Source organism: Homo sapiens, chromosome X (genome assembly GCF_000001405.40).
Source record: "Homo sapiens chromosome X, GRCh38.p14 Primary Assembly".
In the NCBI taxonomy this organism is placed as follows: domain Eukaryota; kingdom Metazoa; phylum Chordata; class Mammalia; order Primates; family Hominidae; genus Homo; species Homo sapiens.
The window spans coordinates 122,536,454-122,559,358 of NC_000023.11; the positions used below are offsets into that span (position 1 = coordinate 122,536,454).

Here is a 22,905-nt window from a genome sequence, read left to right on the forward strand (position 1 = left end):
GAAATCAAACAGAGCAAATGGTAATCACATATTACATATACAGGAACAAACATAAGATTTACAGCATACTTTTGTCTGAATCCATGTTAGTGTGATATTAGTGAATTCATATCTTTAAAGTATTGAAGGAAAAACCTGTCAATTCAATTCTCTCTATTTTTGTATATTTAGCAGCACACTTCTAAATAACCCATGGTCAAAGAGGAAGCATAAGATATGCTAAATACCCTTTGAATTAAATGAAAACAGAATCACAATATATCAAAATTTGTGGGACACAGCTAAGGTAGAGCTTGGGGGAAATTTTATAGAATTAAATGCTTACATTAGTAAAGAATAAGAAAAGTCTAAAATTAATAATTAAATATTTCCCCTTAAGTAACTAGGGGAAGTAGAACATTTGAGACACAAGGCATGTAGAATGAAGGAAAGCAAGAGCAATAAATAAGTAGTAAAAGTAAAAACAATAAAAGAGAAATCAACAAAATTTAAAATAAACAACAAGGAAAATCAATAAAATGAAACTGATTTTTCTGCAAGATGAAAAAAGAATACTTCTAGTTGGTCAAATGAAGACAAAATAAAGCACAAAGAAACACAAATTACCAATATAAGAAATAAAAGAGGAGACATCACTACACATACTTCTGAAATTTAAAGCATAAGTGAATATTTTAAAAATTCTATGTCAATAAATTTAATACATAAAATGGACCACAACTCTTGAAAATCAAAAATTAGCAAAATTTATTGAAAAAAATAGAGTAACCCAAACAAATATAATTAGTAAACAAATACAATTTTCAGTGAAAATATTTTGCACAGGGAAAATCCACGGCTAAAAATGTCTTCAGTGGCAATATATAATAAACATTTAAGGAGAACTAAAACCAATGCTACAAGTACTCTTCTAGAAAATAAAAGAGGAGAGAAATTTTCAAATAATTTTATGAGGCCCAAATTCCCATGACACCAAGTCAGACAGAGACATTACAAGAAGAGAAGATTAAAGACCAAACTCCTTCACGAACTTTGACAAATAATTCTGAAAAAAATATGTTAGTAAATCAAATCCAGCAACATATAAGAAGGATAATATATCATGACCAAGTGGGGTTTATTACATGAATACCAGGTTGTTTCAACATTGGAAAATTAATCAATGTAATTCAAAATATCAACAAGAAAAAATCAAAATTATATAAGATTTATCTCAATAGATGCAGAAAAAGCATTTGACAAAGTTAACATCTATTCAAAAATTCTCAACAAACTAGGAATATAAGGAAATTTTCTCAACCTGAGAAAAGGCATGTCTGTAATATATACAGTTAGCATCAGACTTCCTGGTGAAAGACTTAATATTTTCTTTATTGTATCGGAAACAAGGTAAGGATGTGTTCACTATCACCACTTGTATTCAACATAATATTGTAGGTCCTAGCCAGTGCAATCAGGTACAGAAAGTAAGTAAAAGGCAGCTAAATTGAAAAAGAAGAAATTAAACTGTAATTATTTTCAGATGACATGATTGTCTATTTATAAAGAAATAATAATCTTTCAAAAAATCTGTTATACCTGAGAAGCAAGTTTTTCACCATCACAGAATGCAAAGTCAATATATAAAAGTCAATTGAAATTTTATACTCCACCAGTGAACAACTGAAAATTTAAATGAAGAAAACGGTACCATTTATAATAGTATTGAGATATGAAATACTCATAAATAAGCCTAACAAAATGTAATGCTTGTGTGCTTAAAACTATAAAACATTTCTCCAGTGGGATTTGACGGCATGATATCTCACAGAAAGTTCTCCACTCCCAGACATGGGTCCCTCGGCTTCCTGCCTTGAAAGCACAATTGCAGGCATTGTGGGAAGGTGAAGAGTTTCCCTAAGGATGACCCTTCCAAGCTGGTCCACCTCACAGCCTTCTTGAGATACAAGGTTGGCATGACCCACATCGTGAGGGGAAGTCAATAGGCCAGGATCCAAGGTGAGTACGAAGGAGGTGGTAGAGGCTGTGGCCATTGTGGAGACAACCACCCATGGTGGTTGTGGGCATTGTGGGATATGGGGAAACCCTTCGAGGCATCTGGACTTTCAAGACCATCTTTGCTGAGCACATCAGCAGTGAGTGCAAAAGGCGTTTCTATAAGAACTGACATAAATCTAAGAAGAAGCCCTTTACCAAGTACTGCAAGAAACGGCAGAAAGAGGATGGCAAAAAGCAGGTGTAGAAGGACTTCAGCAGCATGAAGAAGTACTGCCAAGTCATCCGCGTCATTGCCCACACCCAGATACGCCTGCTTCCTCTGCACCAGAAAGCCCACCTGATGGAGATCTAGGTGAACAGAGGCACTGTGGCTGAGAAGCTGGACTGGGCCCAGAAGAGGCTCGAGCAGCAGGTACCTGTCAACCAAGTGTTTGGGCAAGATGAGATGATCAAAGTCATCGGGGTGACCAAGGGCAAAGGCTACAAAGGGGTCACCAGTTGTTGGCACACCACAAAGCTGCCCCACAAGACCCACCGAGGCTTATGCAAGGTGGCCTGTATTGGGGCATGGCATCTTGCCCATGTGGCCTTCTCTGTGTCACACGCTGGTCAGAAAGGCTACCATCATGGCACTGAGATCAACAAGAAGATCTATAAGATCGGCCAGGGCTACCCTATCATGGACGGCAAACTGATCAAGAACAATGCCTCCATTGACTATGACCTGTCTGACAAGAGCATCAACTCTCTGGGTGGCTTTGTCCACTGTGGCAAAGTGACCAATGACTTTGTCATGCTGAAAGGCTATGTGGTGGGAACCAAGAAGCAAGTGCTCACCCTCTGCAAGTCCTTGCTGGTCCAGACCAAATGGCAGGCTCTGGAGAAGACTGACCTTAAGTTCACTGACACCACCTCCAACTTTGGCCATTGCCACTTCCAGACCATGAAGAAGAAAGCATTCGTGAGACCACTCAAGAAAGACCAAATTGCAAAGGAAGAAGGTGCTTAATGCCAGGAACAGATTTTGCACTTGGTGGGGTCTCAATAAAAATTATTTTCCACTGAAAAAAATTAATAAATACAAATAAAACATTTCTGTGAGAAATCTAGAAAGATCTAAGTAAGAGGAGAGATATACAGTGATCATACATTACAAAACAATATATTAAGATATCAAATTTCCTGATAGGAATCAAGACATTCTCAGTCAAAATTCCATCAGGCTGTTTTATTTTCATAAAAGTTATCAAGCTAAATATAAATTTTATATGAAAAAATCAAAGAACCTGGAATTATGCAAACAACTTTAAGGAAAATAGAATTCAAGGTATTTTACTATTTAATTTTAAGGCTTACAAGTTTATAATTATCAAGTCCGTGTGGCATTGATAAAAGGACAGACATAGAGATTTATGGAACAAAATAGAGAATCCAGAAATAGACATGGATCTATATGTCCCATTGATTTCTTTGACAAACTGCCAATATAATTCACTGGGACAGGATAGTCTTTTGAAAAATGTTGCTGGGAAATGTATGGATCTCTATTAATAAATGAACCTTGAACCATACATCAAACCACATACAAAAATTAATTAAAAATATATCATAACGTAAATGTAAAACTATAAAACTTCTAAAAGCAAACCTAGGGGAAAATATTCCTGAATTTTGACTATCCAAAGATATAGTGACTATGCAAGAATACAAACCATGAAAGAAAAGTAAACAATAAATAAGACATAATTAAAATTGAAAACTGTAGTTCTTTAAAACACAATTTTACAAACATTAAAAAGCCACAAAGAGAAAATATTTGCCAAATACATATCTGATAAAAGACCTATACACAGAATTTAAAAAGAAAACTACAACTCAATATTGTATGTGGTAGCCCATTTGCATTGCAATAAAAGGAATACCTGAAGCAGGGTAATTTAGAAAGAAAAGGGGCTTCTTTGGCTCATGGTTTTGCAGGCTGTCCAAGAAGCATGGCACCAGTATGTACTTCTGGTGACGGCCTCAGGAAGCTTATGATCATGGTGAAAGGTGGAAGGGGAGCCAGCATGTCACATGGTGAGAGAGGGAGCAAGAGAGAGAGGAGAGGCGCCACACTCTTTGAAATGACCAGATCTCGTGTGAACACGGAGTGAAAACTCACTCATTTCCACAAAGGAGGGCACCAAGCAATTCCTGAGGAGAGATATGTCCCCATGACCCCTACTAGGCCCCATCTTCAACATTAGAGGTCACACTTTAGCATGAGATTTGTAAGGGACAAAACATGCAAACCATACACTGTAGTAATAAGAGAACAAAATTTATAGAGGCAAGATTTGAAAAGATACTTTATCAAAGAAGAGATACAGATTACAAATAAGCACATGAAAAGATGATCAACACCATTAGCCATTACGAAAATGTAAATTAAAACCACAGTAAGATACCATTACACACCTACTATACTATAAAACTACCTAGATTTTTAATGCAAATACAAGAAGGAAGAACAAATTTAACTTCCATGCGTTGCTGGTAGGAATGCAAAGTATGCAAAGATCTTAAAAAAGATTTTGGCATTTTCTTCAAAAAATGAACATACACTTATCATATGACCCAGCCAGCTGAATACTAGTAATTTATCCAAGAGAAATAAAAAGATGTGTCCACACAAAGAACTTCACACAAATGATCATAACAGCTTTATTAATAATAGCCAAAAACTGGAAAGTGTCCAAATGCTCATCAAATAGTGAATGGCTAAACAAACTGTGGTAGACTTACACAATGAAAACTATTTAGCAATAAAAAGACTGATGCACACAACATAGAATATTAAAAGCCCTATTTTTAGGGTAAGAAGCCAGACACAAATTGCATATATATGATTTCATTTATATCACATCCTAGAAAAGACAAAATTATAGAGACAGATATCAGATCAGTGCCAGAAGCTGGGAGTGGGACTCCTGATTTCATTCAAAATAAAAGCCAGTGTCCTTCCAATATGACATCCCCATTACCTCTCTGACCTTATCTCCTACTCCTCTCTCATTCACTTCACCTGAGCCCCACTGGCTTCCTGACTCTTTTTTTTTTTTTTTTTTTTTTTTTTAGATGGAGTCTTGCTCTGTTGCCAGGCTGGAGTGCAGTGGTGACGTCTTGACTCACTGCAACCTTCTGCCTCCTGGGTTCAAGGGATTCTCCTGCCTCAATCTCCCCAGTGCTGGGATTACATGCACCCACCACCATGCCCGGCTAATTTTTGTATTTTTAGTAGAGACAGAGTTTCAGCATGTTGGCCAAGATGGTATCGATCTCCTGATATTGTGATCCACCTCAGCCTCCCAAAGTGCTGGGATTACAGGCGTGAGCCACCGCACCCGGACCCTCCTGACTAGTTCTAAAACACACTAGGCACACTGTCATTTTAGGGCTTTTGGACTGGCTATTTTCTTTACCTTGAGCATTTTTCTTTGAATACCTGGATGGTTTACTCTCTCTTGAGCCTCAATTCTTTATTCAAATGACATCTTCTGAAGAAAGCCCACCCTGACAATCTTATTTAATACTGATTCTTCCTTTCCACACATTCTAGATAATTATCATCTTCTAACATATTAAATAACTTACTCATTTTGTTCATTTTTGTTTGCCTTCCCCACTAGAATATGAGCATTATAAGAGCAGAGATTTTTGCCTGATTTATCTACTGGTTTATTCCAATCAAATAGAAGAGTGGAAGCTTGGGGCATAGTAGGCCACAATATTTATTAAATGAATAAATGCTACATAAATGTAACTGAATAATTATACTAACTGTAAGATTAAATTTGCTTTCCTCTCTTTTCATGGCCTTGAATTTTTATTGTAATTTTAATCATAATTTAGTTATTAACTTATTGAGATAGGATAATAAAAATATGTAACATATGGCTGTTAATAATTAAATATATATGTTTCTAAACAAATATTTAGAAATATATATTTCTATGTAGACAGAAATTTGTGTGTGTGTGTATGTGTGTGAAGAAACTCAAATACATTTTGAGAAAGAGTCTAGGTCTGAGCAAATAACACAGAGTGAAAATGGTAAATTTTCCCTTTGGCTAAATCTGCCTCTTGGTTCACCTCATGCAAGCTTTCTTGACTATTCCATCCCTGCCACCCCCCGCACACACATACTGATTATACTCTTGCTCCTCCATATCTCTTGATCATTCTATTTCTAGTTTATTTGATTGCATAAGTTGTCTACTTCAGTGATTGCCAAGCCTGGATGATCATCAGAGTCATTGAAGAAGCCCTAAAAAATACAGATGCCTATTCACTCCAAACATACTGAGCAATGATCATTAGGAATAGAAACCTGGGATCTGTATTTTTGAGTAGCTTGTCTGCATGATTTGGATAATCACCCAGACTTAGGGTGAACTTAATTCTAAATGGTCTAAATGGTCACTGTCTAAAATGTTTAAATGGCTCCTCACATGACTCTACCACTAGATTCCAAGTGCCTAAGTTTTGTAATAAGTTTTCCCGTGTCTCCGAGAAGACTGATAGGATAATAGGAACTTAAAAAAAATGGATGCTTGATGATCAGGACTAGTTAATCTTGATTTTTATCACAATATATTTTAAATAGGCAAATAATTGTAATTCTAATTTTTGAACAACAGATTTAAGTAGTGCTAAAGGCCCAAAGAAACGATTAAACATCATGCACAAATATTCCACATAGAAATAACTAATGTTCACATAATGATGCATGGCCTTTCATTTTATTACTATACATATTTTTTTCTATTAAATTATAATCATATGTACATAATATCCTATTTTTCTCTAATAGCATTAATTGTTAGCATTTCCCCATTATGTTAAATATACAACCATTAAAACATGCTTTGGAGACTCATATTACATCCTGTAACTTTATTTTCACATTGTTTTAGTGCAAAGCATTTATATTGGGCAATGAATACTCTTATACATACACACATGGCCATAATATGTCTGTTATGAAACTAATGCTTTGCAAATTATTTCTTCATGTTTCTTATACGTTATACCAGTGGAATTTAAATTTTTTAATATTATTTGTATGGTTTTACATATTATGAAGATCAATGATTAAAAATATTTTTTTCACAAAATGCCAAATAACATTTTCATCTATATATTTTTTGAAATTCTGAATGTCTTTTATGTAATCAAATGTATTGATTTTCACTTTGTTGTTTCTTGTATGATTACAAACTCTTTCTCATTAGGCCTAAATTTACCTATATTTTCTTCCAAGTGTTATTAGCTTTTCTTACTATAGATGCTCCTTGACTAAAAATGGGATTATGACCTGATAAGCCTGTTGTAACTTGAAAGAATTGTTAAGTAAAAATGCATTTAATATACATAACCTACTAAACATTATAGCTTAGCTTAGTCTATCTTAAATGTGCTCAGAACTCTGACATTAGCCTATAGTTGGGCAAAAATATCTAACACAAAGTCTGTTTTACAATAAAGTTTTGAATATCTCTGTAATGTATTAAGTACTGTACTGAAAGTGAAAAACAGAATAGTTGTATGGCTTCTCAAAGTACAGTTTCTACTGAATGTGTACTACTTTTGCTCCACCTTGAAGTAAAAAAAAAATTGTAAGTAAAACCATCATAAGTCAGGGACCATCTGTATATACATCTCTCATTTTTAGGGAATTTATTTTATTGTATTCTGTGAGATGAAGGTGTAACAGCATTTTTTCAGAAAAATAACATATTGCCCCAATGTATTACCTAAGTGTCTCAGTGTCAGCATTATTTATAACATTTAAAACACAAAAATTGAAAACATAAAGTCACAGGGAATTTATCAATGGCAATTACAAATAACTACAGAATAAAAATAAGCATATACATACACTTTTTCAGCATTTTATGGGTACAAAAACATTATTTGACATAACTAAAAAATCAGGGTATTCATATGCTACAACTTCCATTATCCAAATATAAAGTGGAAGAAAACACATCAAAATTTTAACAATTATTATCTGTACATCATCGGGTTATGGGTTTCATTTTTTATGCTCTGTATTTTATAAAATACATTTGATAAGCACGCATTACTTAAACAGCTTTTAGGCATTTAAAAAATCAATTACCTAATAACAGTCCAAAGGAAATAAACCTGGGCAGAAACTCATGTGAAAAAGATTCTGGGAATGTTTGTTGATCACAAGATGATTATAAAACAATGATAAACATGAACTAGCTATCCAGGAATCTACATTAACAGAAATATAATGGCCAATTTACGGATAGCAATAGTCCCACACATTTCTATAATGGCTGGTCAACAAAAATTATGTGGTCTTTTGTTCTGAGTTCTGTATTTTGGAGAGAGCATTAAAAAAACTAGAAAACATTCAGAAAAGGTTTACCAGAGGAGCTAGGTTTCTATCTTTTAAAAAAACAATTAATTAACTGACTAATTAATTAATTGTTGCAAAAATGGCTAAACAAACCAAAAATAAAAATCAGGACAAGACTAAGAGGGAAATTCATCTTCAAATATTTGAAAATTGTCTTAGACAAGAATTAGTTTTCCATCACCCCAAAAGACAGGACTGAAACTAGTTGGAGAAGTAGATTTTACCACAGCAGTTCAGATACGAACAAGATGGTCACCTGTCAGGACCAGTATATAAAGATTTCTACTTTAAGTGGCAAGGTAGATTGGATGTCCCAACATGTTTATTTCAAACTTGAAACTCTCTGACTCTAGGATTATCTAATCACTTTCACTTAGGAAAACATACTTTTCTATAACATTTATTATCATCTGGACAGGATAAATACAAATTTGACTTACTTATTCTTATGGCTATAAGTCTATTTTAGGCTAAGAATTATAATATTCATAAGAAAAAAGTGTATATTAATATTATGAAAGTTTCCAAAAAACAAAAAATTAAGTTAGAAAATGTTTTTAAATTTCGTCATAATATGCTCTAGAGAGTCATTCAAGTAATCATATTTCGGTTAGCATAAAGAATATGTATTATGATGCTGTCCATATGATACTCATAATGCTTTAGACATGGCAGAAAATATGAATTATAACCAAAATTCACAGTACAGTAGCATCACCATGGTATCAAAGGCCAACATTGTTCTCATAATTCATAGCAAATATCATGATTTAAGAACTAAATGTCACACAAACTTTTTTATTATGATGAAAGATGTGTAATTATACTTCTTGAAAGATATTCAATCTAGTGACATTAGAGATTATAAAGCAAAACAAGGGTACTACCAATTATAACTTCAGTTATTTATCAAAATGACATAAAACTTTTGTGCTCATATCAGAACTGTGTCTGTTTTGTCAATGTGTAGCCCAGATGACAGGTTCATTTTGAGTCCTTTCATTTGAACTACCTATGAGTATCACTAAATATCAATGGATATTGGGGCAATCACAGAATTGTTGGATATAGCCAGGTCAGCCATTGTGAAAACAAGAGCTCTGATGTCCTGACTAGATGGACACATTTATTTATCTATTAATCATTAACTAAGTTTCTCATAATTGTCATCTAAACCTCAAAGGTGATAGAAAGATATATGTTATCCCTGCCATTAAGTTGTTTACAATTTAATCAACATTATAAGGTTTGTGCACAAATAAATAATTCAGGACACAAGGTGATAAACACCCTAAAAGAGGGGAAATTAAGATGTACTTGGAGTTCAAAGGAGATAAATATTGCTTTTGGATAGGGAGAATATGAACAAAATAGTATTTAAGTAAAGCCATAAACAAATATTTAGAATTTGGACTTGGAGGGATATTCGGACAAGAGAGTAAGATATTACAGGAAAGAGGTGATTGTAACAACAACAACAAAACTGCTGAGATGTAAAAAACATTGGGTAATCATGAGCAGTGCTGAATAAATAAAGTGAGTGATATGAGGTAATGTACTGACAGATAAGACTGGAAAGATAAGTTAGGAGCAGAGGAATATGGGGAGTGCATTGCTAAACAACTTAAAATTTGTTTGGTGTGGAGGAGTTTCTAAGGGTTGGGCAATTAGTGACTTTAGGATGCCTCACCTCTCAGAAATGTCTTCACTGTGTGCCTGACAGGAGGAGTATATGGGCACATCTTCTTTTTTTTTTTTTTTTTTTTTTACATTTCTCTCTATCCTTTTATTTGTTTTGTTTAGTTTATTATTATTATACTTTAAGTTTTAGGGTACATGTGCACAATGTGCAGGTTAGTTACATATGTATACATGTGCCATGCTGGTGCGCTGCACCCATTAACTCATCATTTAGCATTAGGTATATCTCCTAATGCTATCCCTCCCCCCTCCGCCCACCCCACAACAGTCCCCAGAGTGTGACGTTCCCCTTCCTGTTTCCATGTGTTCTCATTGTTCAGTTCCCATCTATGAGTGAGAACATGTGGTGTTTGGTTTTTTGTCCCTGTGATAGTTTACTGAGAATGATGATTTCCAATTTCATCCATGTCCCTACAAAGGACATGAACTCATCATTTTTTATGGCTGCATAGTATTCCATGGTGTATATGTGCCACATTTTCTTAATCCAGTCTATCATTGTTGGACATTTGGGTTGGTTCCAAGTCTTTGCTATTGTGAATAGTGCCACAATAAACATATGTGTGCATGTGTCTTTATAGCAGCATGATTTATAGTCCTTTGGGTATATACCCAGTAATGGGATGGCTGGGTCAAATGGTATTTCTAGTTCTAGATCCCTGAGGAATCGCCACACTGACTTCCACAAGGGTTGAACTAGCTTACAGTCCCACCAACAGTGTAAAAGTGTTCCTATTTCTCCACATCCTCTCCATCACCTGTTGTTTCCTGACTTTGTAATGATCGCCATTCGAACTGGTGTGAGATGGTATCTCATTGTGGTTTTGATTTGCATTTCTCTGATGGCCAGTGATGGTGAGCATTTTTTCATGTGTTTTTTGGCTGCATAAATGTCTTCTTTTGAGAAGTGTCTGTTCGTGTCCTTTGCCCACTTTTTGATGGGGTTGTTTGTTTTCTTCTTGTAAATTTGTTTGAGTTCATTGTAGATTCTGGATATTAGCTCTTTGTCAGATGAGTAGGTTGTGAAAATTTTCTCCCATTTTGTAGGTTGCCTGCTCATTCTGATGGTAGTTTCTTTGGCTGTGCAGAAGCTTTTTAGTTTCATTAGATCCCATTTGTCAATTTCGGCTTTTGTTGCCATTGCTTTTGGTGTTTTAGACATGAAGTCCTTGCCCATGCCTATGTCCTGAATGGTAATGACTAGGTTTTCTTCTAGGGTTTTTATGGTTTTAGGTCTAACATTTAAGTCTTTAATCCATCTTGAATGAATTTTTGTATAAGGTGTAAGGAAGGGATCCAGTTTCAGCTTTCTACATATGGCTAGCCAGTTTTCCCAGCACCATTTATTAAATAGGGAATCCTTTCCCCATTGCTTGTTTTTCTCAGGTTTGTCAAAGATCAGATAGTTGTAGATATGTGGCATTATTTCTGAGGGCTCTGTTCCGTTCCATTGATCTATATCTCTGTTTTGGTACTAGTAACATGCTGTTTTGGTTACTGTAGCCTTGTAGTATACTTTGAAGTCAGGTAGTGTGATGCCTCCGGCTTTGTTCTTTTGGCTTAGGATTGACTTGGTGATGCGGGCTCTTTTTTGGTTCCATATGAACTTTAAAGTAGTTTTTTCCAATTCTGTGAAGAAAGTCATTGGTAGCTTGATGGGGATGGCATTGAATCTATAAATTACCTTGGGCAGTATGGCCATTTTCACGATATTGATTCTTCCTACCCATGAGCATGGAATGTTCTTCCATTTGTTTGTATCCTCTTTTATTTCATTGAGCAGTGGTTTGTAGTTCTCCTTGAAGAGGTCCTTCACGTCCCTTGTAAGATGGATTCCTAGGTATTTTATTCTCTTTGAAGCAATTGTGAATGGGAGTTCACTCTTGATTTGGCTCTCTGTTTGTCTGTTATTGGTATATAAGAATGCTTGTGATTTTTGTACATTGATTTTGTATCCTGAAACTTTGCTGAAGTTGCTTATCAGCTTAAGGAGATTTTGGGCTGAGACGATGGGGTTTTCTAGATATACAATCATGTCATCTGCAAACAGGGACAATTTGACTTCCTCTTTTCCTAATTGAACACCCTTTATTTCCTTCTCCTGCATAATTGCCCTGGCCAGACAGCGGATCTCTCAGCAGAAACTCTACAAGCCAGAAGAGAGTGGGGGCCAATATTCAGCATTCTTAAAGAAAAGAATTTTCAACCCAGAATTTCATATCCAGCCAAACTAAGCTTCATAAGTGAAGGAGAAATAAAATACTTTACAGACAAGCAAATGCTGAGAGATTTTGTCACCACTAGGCCTACCCTAAAAGAGCTCCTGAAGGAAGCACTAAACATAGAAAGGAACAACCGGTACCAGCCACTGCAAAATCATGCCAAATTGTAAAGACCATCGAGGCTAGGAAGAAACTGCATCAAATAATGAGCAAAATAACCAGCTAACACAATAATGACAGGATCAAATTCACACTTAACAATATTAACTTTAAATGTAAATGGACTAAATGCTCCAATTAAAAGACACAGACTGGCAAATTCGATAAAGAGTCAAGACCCATCAGTGTGCTGTACCCAGGAAACCCATCTCACATGCAGAGACACACATAGGCTCAAAATAAAGGGATGGAGGAAGATCTACCAAGCAAATGGAAAACAAAAAAAGGCAGGGGTTGCAATCCTAGTCTCTGATAAAACAGACTTAAACCAACAAAGATCAAAAGAGACAAAGAAGGCCATTACATAATGGTAAAGGGATCAATTCAACAAGAAGAGCTAACTATCCTAAATATATATGCACCCAATACAGGAGCACCCAGATTCATAAAGCAAGTCCTGAGTGACCTACAAAGAGACTTAGATTCCCACACAATAATAATGGGAGACTTTAACACCCCACTGTCAACATTAGACAGATCAACGAGACAGAAAGTTAACATGGATACCCAGGAATTGAACTCAGCTCTGCACCAAGAGGACCTAATAGACATCTACAGAACTCTCCACCCCAAATCAACAGAATATACATTTTTTTCAGCACCACACCACACCAATTCCAAAACTGACCACATAGTTGGAAGTAAAGCTCTCCTCAGCAAATGTAAAAGAACAGAAATTATAACAAACTGTCTCTCAGACCACAGTGCAATCAAACTAGAACTCAGGATTAAGAAACTCACTCAAAACCGCTCAACTACAAGGAAACTGAACAACCTTCTCCTGAACGACTACTGGGTACATAACGAAATGAAGGCAGAAATAAAGATGTTCTTTGAAACTAACGAGAACAAAGACACAACATACCAGAATCTCTGGGACGCATTCAAAGCAGTGTGTAGAGGGAAATTTATAGCACTAAATGCCCACAAGAGAAAGCAGGAAAGATCCAAAATTGACACCCTAACATCACAATTAAAAGAACTAGAAAAGCAAGAGCAAAGACATTCAAAAGCTTGCAGAAGGCAAGAAATAACTAAAATCAAAGCAGAACTGAAGGAAATAGAGACAAAAAAAGCCTTCAAAAAATTAATGAATCCAGGAGCTGGTTTTTTGAAAGGATCAACAAAATTGATAGACCGCTAGCAAGACTAATAGAGAAGAAAAGGGAGAAGAATCAAATAGATGCAATCAAAAATGATAAAGGGGATATCACCACCAATCCCACAGAAATACAAACTACCATCAGAGAATATTACAAACACTTCTGTGCAAATAAACTAGAAAATCTAGAAGAAATGGATAAATTCCTCGACATATACACCCTCCCAAGACTAAACCAGGAAGAAGTTGACTCTCTGAATAGACCAATAACAGGCTCTGAAATTGTGGCAATAATCAATAGCTTACCAACCAAAAAGAGTTCAGGACCAGATGGATTCACAGCAGAATTCTACCAGAGGTACAAGGAGGAACTGGCACCATTCCTTCTGAAACTATTCCAATCAATAGAGAAAGAGGGAATCCTCCCTAACTCATTTTATGAGGCCAGCATCATCCTGATACCAAAGCCGGGCAGAGACACAACCAAAAAAGAGAATTTTAGACCAATATCCTTGAACATTGACTCAAAAATCCTCAGTAAAATACTGGCAAACTGAATCCAGCAGCACATCAAAAAGCTTATCCACCATGATCAAGTGGGCTTCATCCCTGGGATGCAAGCCTGGTTCAATATACGCAAATCAGTAAATGTAATCCAGCATATAAACAGAACCAAAGACAAAAACCACGATTATCTCAATAGATGCAGAAAAGGCCTTTGACAAAATTCAACAACCTTCATGCTAAAAACTCTCAATAAATTAGGTATTGATGGGACGTATCTCAAAATAATAAGAGCTATCTATGACAAACCCACAGCCAATATCATACTGAATGGGCAAAAACTGGAAGCATTCCCTTTGAAAACTGGCACAAGACAGGGATGCCCCCTCTCACCACTCCTATTCAACATAGTGTTGGAAGTTCTGGGTACATGTTCTTCTTTCATAGGCTCTGAAACACTTTATAGTTTTGATTTGTGAAAGAGCTCAGAGACTAACCAGAGTGTACCTAAAGATCTGTGCTGGAGATAAATCTAATTTGCTTATTTCTCTTCCAGACTCCAGCACTTTTACTGAGGTTGCCACATACAGTGATTATTGAGTAGGGGTTGGGGAAAAAAATAATACCAACATCAGATTAAATGTAATAGTCAGAAAATGAAATCTTCAGCCAAACTATATAATTTACCATACGGTTTTGAATAATGTTATTTGTCATATTATCCATGCACATTCTTCTTAATGGATATAAGTAACTGACAGTGCCTATATTTTGATCCAGGAGTGAATGTAAGACTATCAAACTCTACCTCAGTTACCACATATATAGTCAATTTTTGCATTTGACATATGATGATAAGGCTCCCCAACAGAAATGCTGGAACTGAGTTAGTAAAATATACATAGGCTATGACACATGATTCACAGAGATAACATAGGCAATAAATAATGGTAATGTAATTGCAAGACAAGAAGCAGGCTGCTTCCCTTTAATCAAAACATATTGAGCACTTAACTTGTTGCCTAGCATAATATTGTGGGGTACAGCAATAGAAGAGATCTTGATAAATTGATCATATAATTTATTATTGAAATGAGAACACTTTTGATTTAAAAAATTCACTATTAAATTATAATGGAATAGCAAGTGGTATAACCTGGCCATTATGAGAAAACTAAGATGTATAGACATTCTGGATTTAGAGGACATGGTCTGTATCTTGCTGGAGTCAGCATGTCAAAAACTCTTACTATACAAACTAGCATGCAAGATGGTATGAGTTGAAAAACAAATAAGACTTCAAAGAAGGAACTATAACAATCAATAAAATAATATTTGATATTTAAACAGATGAGAAACTATCGACAAGACATAAAGATCAAGATAAAGGTAGATGCTGGAAGAAGTTTAAATAAAAGTAAAAAGGTTGAAGTGAAGTGAGTGTGAGGGGGAGCCTGAAGAAGTGTGATGGACCAGAGTCTACACTTATTTTGGAATGAGTGTCTGAATAGTATTTTTAAAAAATGATTTAATTGACTCCCATTGGCTGTCCTTGAAAAGCAGTTTAAGAAGATAACACTTCTTACTTCCCCTGTAAGAAGTGATTTTCCTCTTATAAAGCCAATTCCAATTATGGATTTCATGCATGTCAGGCTCAATAGGCAGGGATATGATTACATCGGAAAGTGGTATGCAATGTGTGCACTTTAAAATTACTCAGAGAATAATAGTTTGCAATCTTTATGTAAATCAGTAAGGCTTTCTGCCTCTATCACTCCCTCCCAGCATTGCAGGAGAAGTGCAAACCTCAGCCCTTTGGAAAGAAAAGCGATGATGAAATATTAATAAAGATTACTGACAAAGTAAGCAGTATGAATCAGGTTGTATAGAGCCATGGAACCTAGATGTTGAACAAATTTATTCAGCAACAGGACAAGTTATTCAGATGTTTTAAAGCAGATGACATCATCTCTATAAACTGCAGGGAGCTTTTGAGAGTGTGGCAGCATTTTGATTTAGGGGGAGGGGAAATTTGAAAGACGGGAGTAATTTTATTAGGATTAAAAAGTAGGCAAAAAGGAAGGAAAATTTTAATGAAAATCTCTCTGCACTTCTGCAAAATAGCATGGAGGCCTTCATTTCCTCTCTAAAATAGTTACACTTTCCTCAGTCTTGTCTTTTTGACCATCGTGGCAATTGATTTAAGTTATACATGCTCCTCTGCAAAAGGCTACTGTGCTGAGGCTTTCAGATCATATGCACATGTGACTGTCCAAAGTGAAATTTGTTTACAAAAATCAAGTAATAGGACTTGGACATTTCCAATGGTAGGTGAAACAAGTAAGTCAGAAACAATTTTACCCATGTTAATGGGTTTTTATTTTAAAGACTTAGCTGGTAACACGCTTTTGGGGAAAGGTCAGAAGGGAAATACTGTCTCTTAATTATAGAATTAACACATGTCTCGCCCTTCCTAACATTCCTTCTCTAAACTCAAGGGTTATTTATCCCTGGGGCAAGGTGTGGTGGTGGGTCAAGGAGAGTGGGAGTGAGAGGTTACAATTCTATTCAAGTATCTGAGGGACTTAATGGTCAACAGGAATGTTCAAAGCAGCCACTGCATGTCATCTCTGGTAACCCCTCAAGCATTGCAAGAATAGGTCGTGAGTGGAACGTTGCTATGTGTGTACCTGCCATATTCAGGTTGTGCTGTTGGTACTTTCTTTCACTACCTCTGAGAAAGTCTTCTCATTATCATTATTCCAACTCCATCACAAAATAAATTGACCATGAGAGATACTTCACATGGATAAATTTCAACATTGAGAAGTAAAATGAGGCAGCCTACATTAATCAGGAGATATACCCATTTTATGCATGAGAAATTTCAGGCCTAGAGAGGCCTCCAGTGACTTGTTCCAGGTCAATAAATGAGATACCAAGGAAAGACAAAAAATAATCTCAAGGTCTCCTAAATCCTAGCTGAGTTCCTTTCTTTGAAAGCATACTGCTGACTTGAAAGCTTTAAAAACTCTCATGGTCTCCTTTGATAGATATTTTCCTATAGGCTAGGAAGGTAACTAAGGTCATTTTTATAAAGCAAAGGGAATTAAAGAAGAAGACTACAGCTATTTCTCTAAGATTATAGTTCAGTTATATCTCTGACAGTGAATAACTCATGAAATAAGAAACTCAGATGAGAACCCAGGGGTTAGAGTGAGGGCATCCTGACTTCAAATTATTCAAAGGAAGAAGAGAACTTCCATTATTATATTCAAAGGACTTTAGAGGCTTGTTGTGGTACTGCTGCATAGGACCAGTAGATTTTTTTTTTTTTTTTTTTTTTTTTTTAGACAGAGTCTCACTCTGTCACCAGGCTGGAGTGCAATGGCACGATCTTGGCTCACTGCAACCTCCGCCTCCCGGGTTCAAGTGATTCTCCTGCCTCAGCCTCCCGAGTAACTAGGACTACAGGTGTGCACCACCATACCCAGCTAATTTTTTTATTTTTAGTAGAGACGGGGTTTCTCTGTGTTGGTCAGGATGGTCTCAATCTCTTGACATTTTGATCCACCCACATCAACCTCCCAAAATGCTGAGATTACAGGCGTGAGCCACCGTGCCCGGCCAGGGCCAGTAGATTTTTAAAGCCAAAAGAATAGTCATTCTTCATGACTCTGAGGATTTAATGGGACATAGACCTGGGATACCAAGATACAAGCTGGGACTGCAAAAGACCAACTAAGCTTTGCTGTAAATCATTAACTGCTATTAGTAAATACATTAAATAGATATGCTTAAAATTTTTTCTTTTACATGTGGACCATGAGCCTTCCAGAGAACCTTTCATTCAGTTAACTAATAGCATGGGTCAGGATCCTGCTATGCTATGCAATTCATATACATTGGCAAAATTAAAGTGATGTTTTTCTTTTATTGGCAGGCACTAAAGACTAATGAACTATGGAGACTATTAGTTCAAACGAACTATGAAGAATGCCAACATAAGAAATTTAAATATGCCCATAATTAATAAATTTAATAATCATTTCCTTCTTGTTAAGGGTATTCAGTCAAATCTGTTGTTCACAAAATAAGATGGATGTGTGTGTGTGTGTGTGTGTGTGTGTGTATATACACAAACATAAAAACTAGTGTGAACACATACACCCACACAAATTCCAACATAAATAAGAATATCAGACTTCCAGCAACTTCAATGCTGAACTGAGAAATAAACAGATAAACCTAAGATTTTTCTCATAATACTCCCATGAACTAAAGTTCAAGTCTTTTATACCATAAAGTATTTTATCCCTTTTTCAGATTCGTATATTGATATATCCGTATCTATCTATATAAATATATATACACCATTTTATATACACTTACTTATCTCATTGATATGGTTTGGCTTTGTGTCCCCACCCAAATCTCATCTTGAATTTTATTCCCATAATTCCCACCTATTGTGGGAGTGGCCTGATAGGAGAGAATTGCATCATGGGAGTGGTTTTTCCCATACTGTTCTCATGGTAGTGAATAAGTCTCAAAAGATATGGTGGTTTTATCGGGGGTTTCTGCTTTTGCACCTTCCTCATTTTCTCTTTGCCTGCTGCCATCCATATAAGACATGATTTGCTCTTCCTTGCCTTCCACCATGATTGTGAGGCTTCCCCAGACATGCAGAACTCTAAGTCCAATTAAACCTCTTTCTTTTGTAAATTGCCAAGTCTTGGGTATTTCTTTATCAGCACTGTGAAAATGGACTAATACAGTAAATTGGTACCTGTAGAGTAGGGCATTGCTGAAAAGATACTGAAAAATGTGGAAGTGACTTTGGACCTGGGTAACAGGCAGAGGTTGGAACAGTTTGGAGGGCTCAGAAGAAGACAGGAAAATGTGGGAAACTTTGGAACTTCCTAGATATTTGTTGAATGGCTTTGCCCGAAATGCTGATAGCAATATGGACAATAAGGTCCAGGCTAAGGTGGTCTCAGATGGAGATGAGGAACTTATTGGGAACAGGAGCAAAGGTGGCCCTTGTTGTATTTTAGCAAAGAGACTGGCAGCGTTTTGCTCCTGTCCTAGAGATTTGTGGAACTGTGAACTTGAGAGAGATGATTTTAGGGTATCTGGCAGAAGAAATTTCTAAGCAGCAAAGCATTCAAGGGGTAACTTGGGCCCCAATAAAAGCATTCAATTTTAAAAGGGAAACAGAGCACAGAAGTTTGAAAAATTTGCAGCCTGACAATGTGATAGAAAAGAAAATTCTATTTTCTGAGGAGAAATTCAAGCCAGCTGCAGAAATTTGCATAAATAATGAGGAGCCAATGTTAATCCCCAAGACAATGGGGAAGGAGTCTCCAGGGCATGTCTGATGTCTTCACGGTGGCTCCTCCCATCATAGGCCTGGAGGCCTAGGAGAAAGAAGTGGTTTCATGGGCTGGGGCCAGGGTCCCAGAGCTGTATGCAGCCTAGGCACTTGGTTCCCTGAGCCCAGCCGCTCCAGCCATGGTCCAGTCCTGAAAGGGGCCAATGTAGAGCTCAGGCCATGGCTTCAGATGGTGCAAGCCTCCAGCCTTGGCAGCTTTCATGTAGTGTTGAGTCTGTGGGTGCACAGAAGTCAAGAATTGAGGTTTGGGAAACTCCACCTAGATTTCAGAAGTTTGCTGCAGGGATGGGGTCCTCATGGAGAACTTGTGCTAGGGCACTGTGGGAGTGAAATGTGGAGTCAGAGCCCCCACACAGAGTCCCTACTGGGGCACCACTTAATGGAGCTATGAGAAGAGGGCCTTTGTCCTCCAGACCCCAAAATTGTATATCCACTAACAGCTTGCACTGTGCACCTGGAAAAACTGCAGAAACTCAATGCCAGCCCATGAAAGCAGCTGGGAGGGAGGCTGTACCCCGCAAAGCCACAGGGGCAGAGCTGCCCAAGACTGTGGGAACCCACCTCTTGCATCATCATGACCTAGATGTGAGACATGGAGTCAAATGAGATCATTTTGGAGCCTCAAGATTTGACTGCCCCGCTGAATTTCAGACTTACACTGGCCCTGTTGCCCCTTTGTTTTGGCCAATTTCTTCCATTTGGAGTGGTTGTATTTATCAAATATCTGTACCCCCATTGTATCTAGGAAATAACTAGCTTGCATTTGATTTTACAGGCTCATAGGCAAAAGAGACTTGTCTTCTCTCAGATGAGACTTTGGACTGTGGACTTTTGAGTTAATGTTGAAATGAGTTAAGACTTTGGGGAACTTGGGAAGGCATGGTTGGCTTTGAAATATGAGGACATGAGATTTGGCAGGGGAGAGGGGCAGAATGATGTGGTTCAGCTCTGTATCCCCATCCAAATCTCATCTTGAGTTGTACTTCCATAATTCCCATGTGTTGTGGGAGGGACCTGATGGATAATTGAATAATGGGGGCGGTTTTCCCCATCCTGTTCTCATGGTACTGAATAAGTCTCACGAGACCTGCTGGTTTTATCAGGGATTTCTGCCTTTGTGTCTTCCTCATTCTCTCTTTGCCTGCTGCCACTCATGTAAGACGTGGCTTGCTCTTCCTTGCCTTCCACCATGATTGTGAGGCTTCCCCAGTCACGTGGAACTCTAAGTCTAATTAAACTTCTTTCTTTTGTAAATTGCCCAGTCTTGGGTGTGTCTTTATCAGCAGTATGAAAACAGACTAATACACTCATTCTCCAATCTACAGAAGATTAAAAGCTGCAAATTAAAAAGTAAACACAAGTAAAGAAAGTTGTCAAATCAGGTGACAGACTGCAATGAAAAATGACAGACATTCTTGTAGCAGACTGGAGGATGAAATCTCTATGACTATACCCAAGCAACTAAAAGCATTGTATTTTGGGCTATTTGGAGTATGGATGACATATTTTAATAAATACAAAGAGCACAATATGCTACATGGCCTGATATTTGATGGTCATATTGATCTCTTTTTGAGTCATGAAGCAAGATATTTTTATATTCTGTTAGATTTTGTTTATCATCTTGTACATAAATTTGTATAAACTATAATGGGTATCTTGCTGATTTTCTAAACATTTCAGCTCTTAAAAAGGCAAGTTTTAGTTTTCTGGAAAGCTAACATTTTTAGAATACCTCTTTCCTTGATGATGCTGGATTAAAAGTAAATTACCATGTGTATATGTGTATGTGGGAAGAAATGTGGGAAGAAATGTGGAGTCTGAGTACACGGAAAGAATTTTAATGTGGACATCAACATATACAGAAGCAGAGCCCCTCCTAGGGTGTGTGTAGGGGGGTCTAGACTGAGGCCTCTGACTGTATAAACAACTTAATTTTAAAACCATATAAAATTAATGGGCTCATATGAAGTATAGTGGTTAATTGATGAAGATTTAGAATATTGGGCAGATCAAGATGATTTAGAACAATGGATACAGAAGAGTTACTTTTGCATTGGTTAAGGCAAAAAGTGTATGTGAAGATTCTTCATAGTGTTCAGGCACTGTCTCTTTCTGTTAAGGTCCAGAAATTATATCTTTGAGTGTTTTATTGTCAAATGTGTTATTTCTGACTAATTTCATATCTCTCACTAGGATAAAAAATAGCAATACCATTATTATTCATAATACTATGATTCTTCATGACCAGTTTATTTTAAAATAATGTACATCTTCCTGCTCCTGCAGTTCTCTAATGCCGTTTATTTAATGTTGGTTACACTATCACTCATGGTACTACCTCATCCATTCTACCCCTACCCCTTGTGAATACTGACTTCCAGTGCCTTTCTTAAAAGTTTATTACTATTCTTTGTTGATGATGATCACAAATGTACGTCTCATCCAGTGTATGCAGAAAAATGTGAGCAATAGTTTGTTTTATGGTCATGCTAAATGTATCAATCAGAATTTTATGATATAAAGACACATCTTCCAATAATGTCTCCTTTTGAACTCTTTAGACCATAATCAATACATTTATAGAATATAATCTTTTTCAATGTTGATAGCATCCCTGTATTTTACACATAGCTATCAGCAGGGAGGATAGACAAGGGACCCACAGGAAGAGTAAGAACAATGGTTCCATTTTCTCAAGAAATGCCCATCCTTCATCCAGCACAGCTTATGACCAACCTGAGAGAGTGTTATATTTTAACATCAGTAGAAAGCAAGAGAGGTCATTGTGGGGTAGTGGCCTCAATAGCCTACAGAGGAGACAGGTGCAGCAGCCACCTCCAGAGGACTGCCTAACACATGACACAAAGCCTATGGAGGACATAGGATGGCCATACTGGGTGCTAGCAGCATACAGCACACAGGGTAAATGTTCACACATGCAGATAAAGACCAAGTGGAAATGAGGGATCATCAGTTCTCAGAAAACTGAACTAATCCTGTGTCCATTTTGAAAGTCACCCCAAATCAGTATGTCGGCATTATTTGGGCTGTCAAATATCACACAATCTTGTGAAAGAAATACAGTGCTTGAGCTGAAATGCAGCCACTGTGCCCCAATATGATTCCATTGATAGGAAGCTTGAAGCATCCCAGGGTGTATTGTAAACTCCATATGCAGGGTAGTGGGTCTGAGAATAAATTAAAGGTGAGAAATTGGGATGGGGGCCCACTTGAGTCCCATTCAGACTCAAAACAAGTTGCTCAAACATCAGTATCAACCTTGGCCAGAACCAGGTACCAGAGAAGGATTTAGACAAATTTGAGGGAG

General features: G+C 36.8%; 1 pseudogene; it reads left to right on the plus strand.

Moving 5' to 3' along the window:
- On the plus strand, positions 1,779 to 3,063 carry RPL3P12 (ribosomal protein L3 pseudogene 12; annotated as a pseudogene).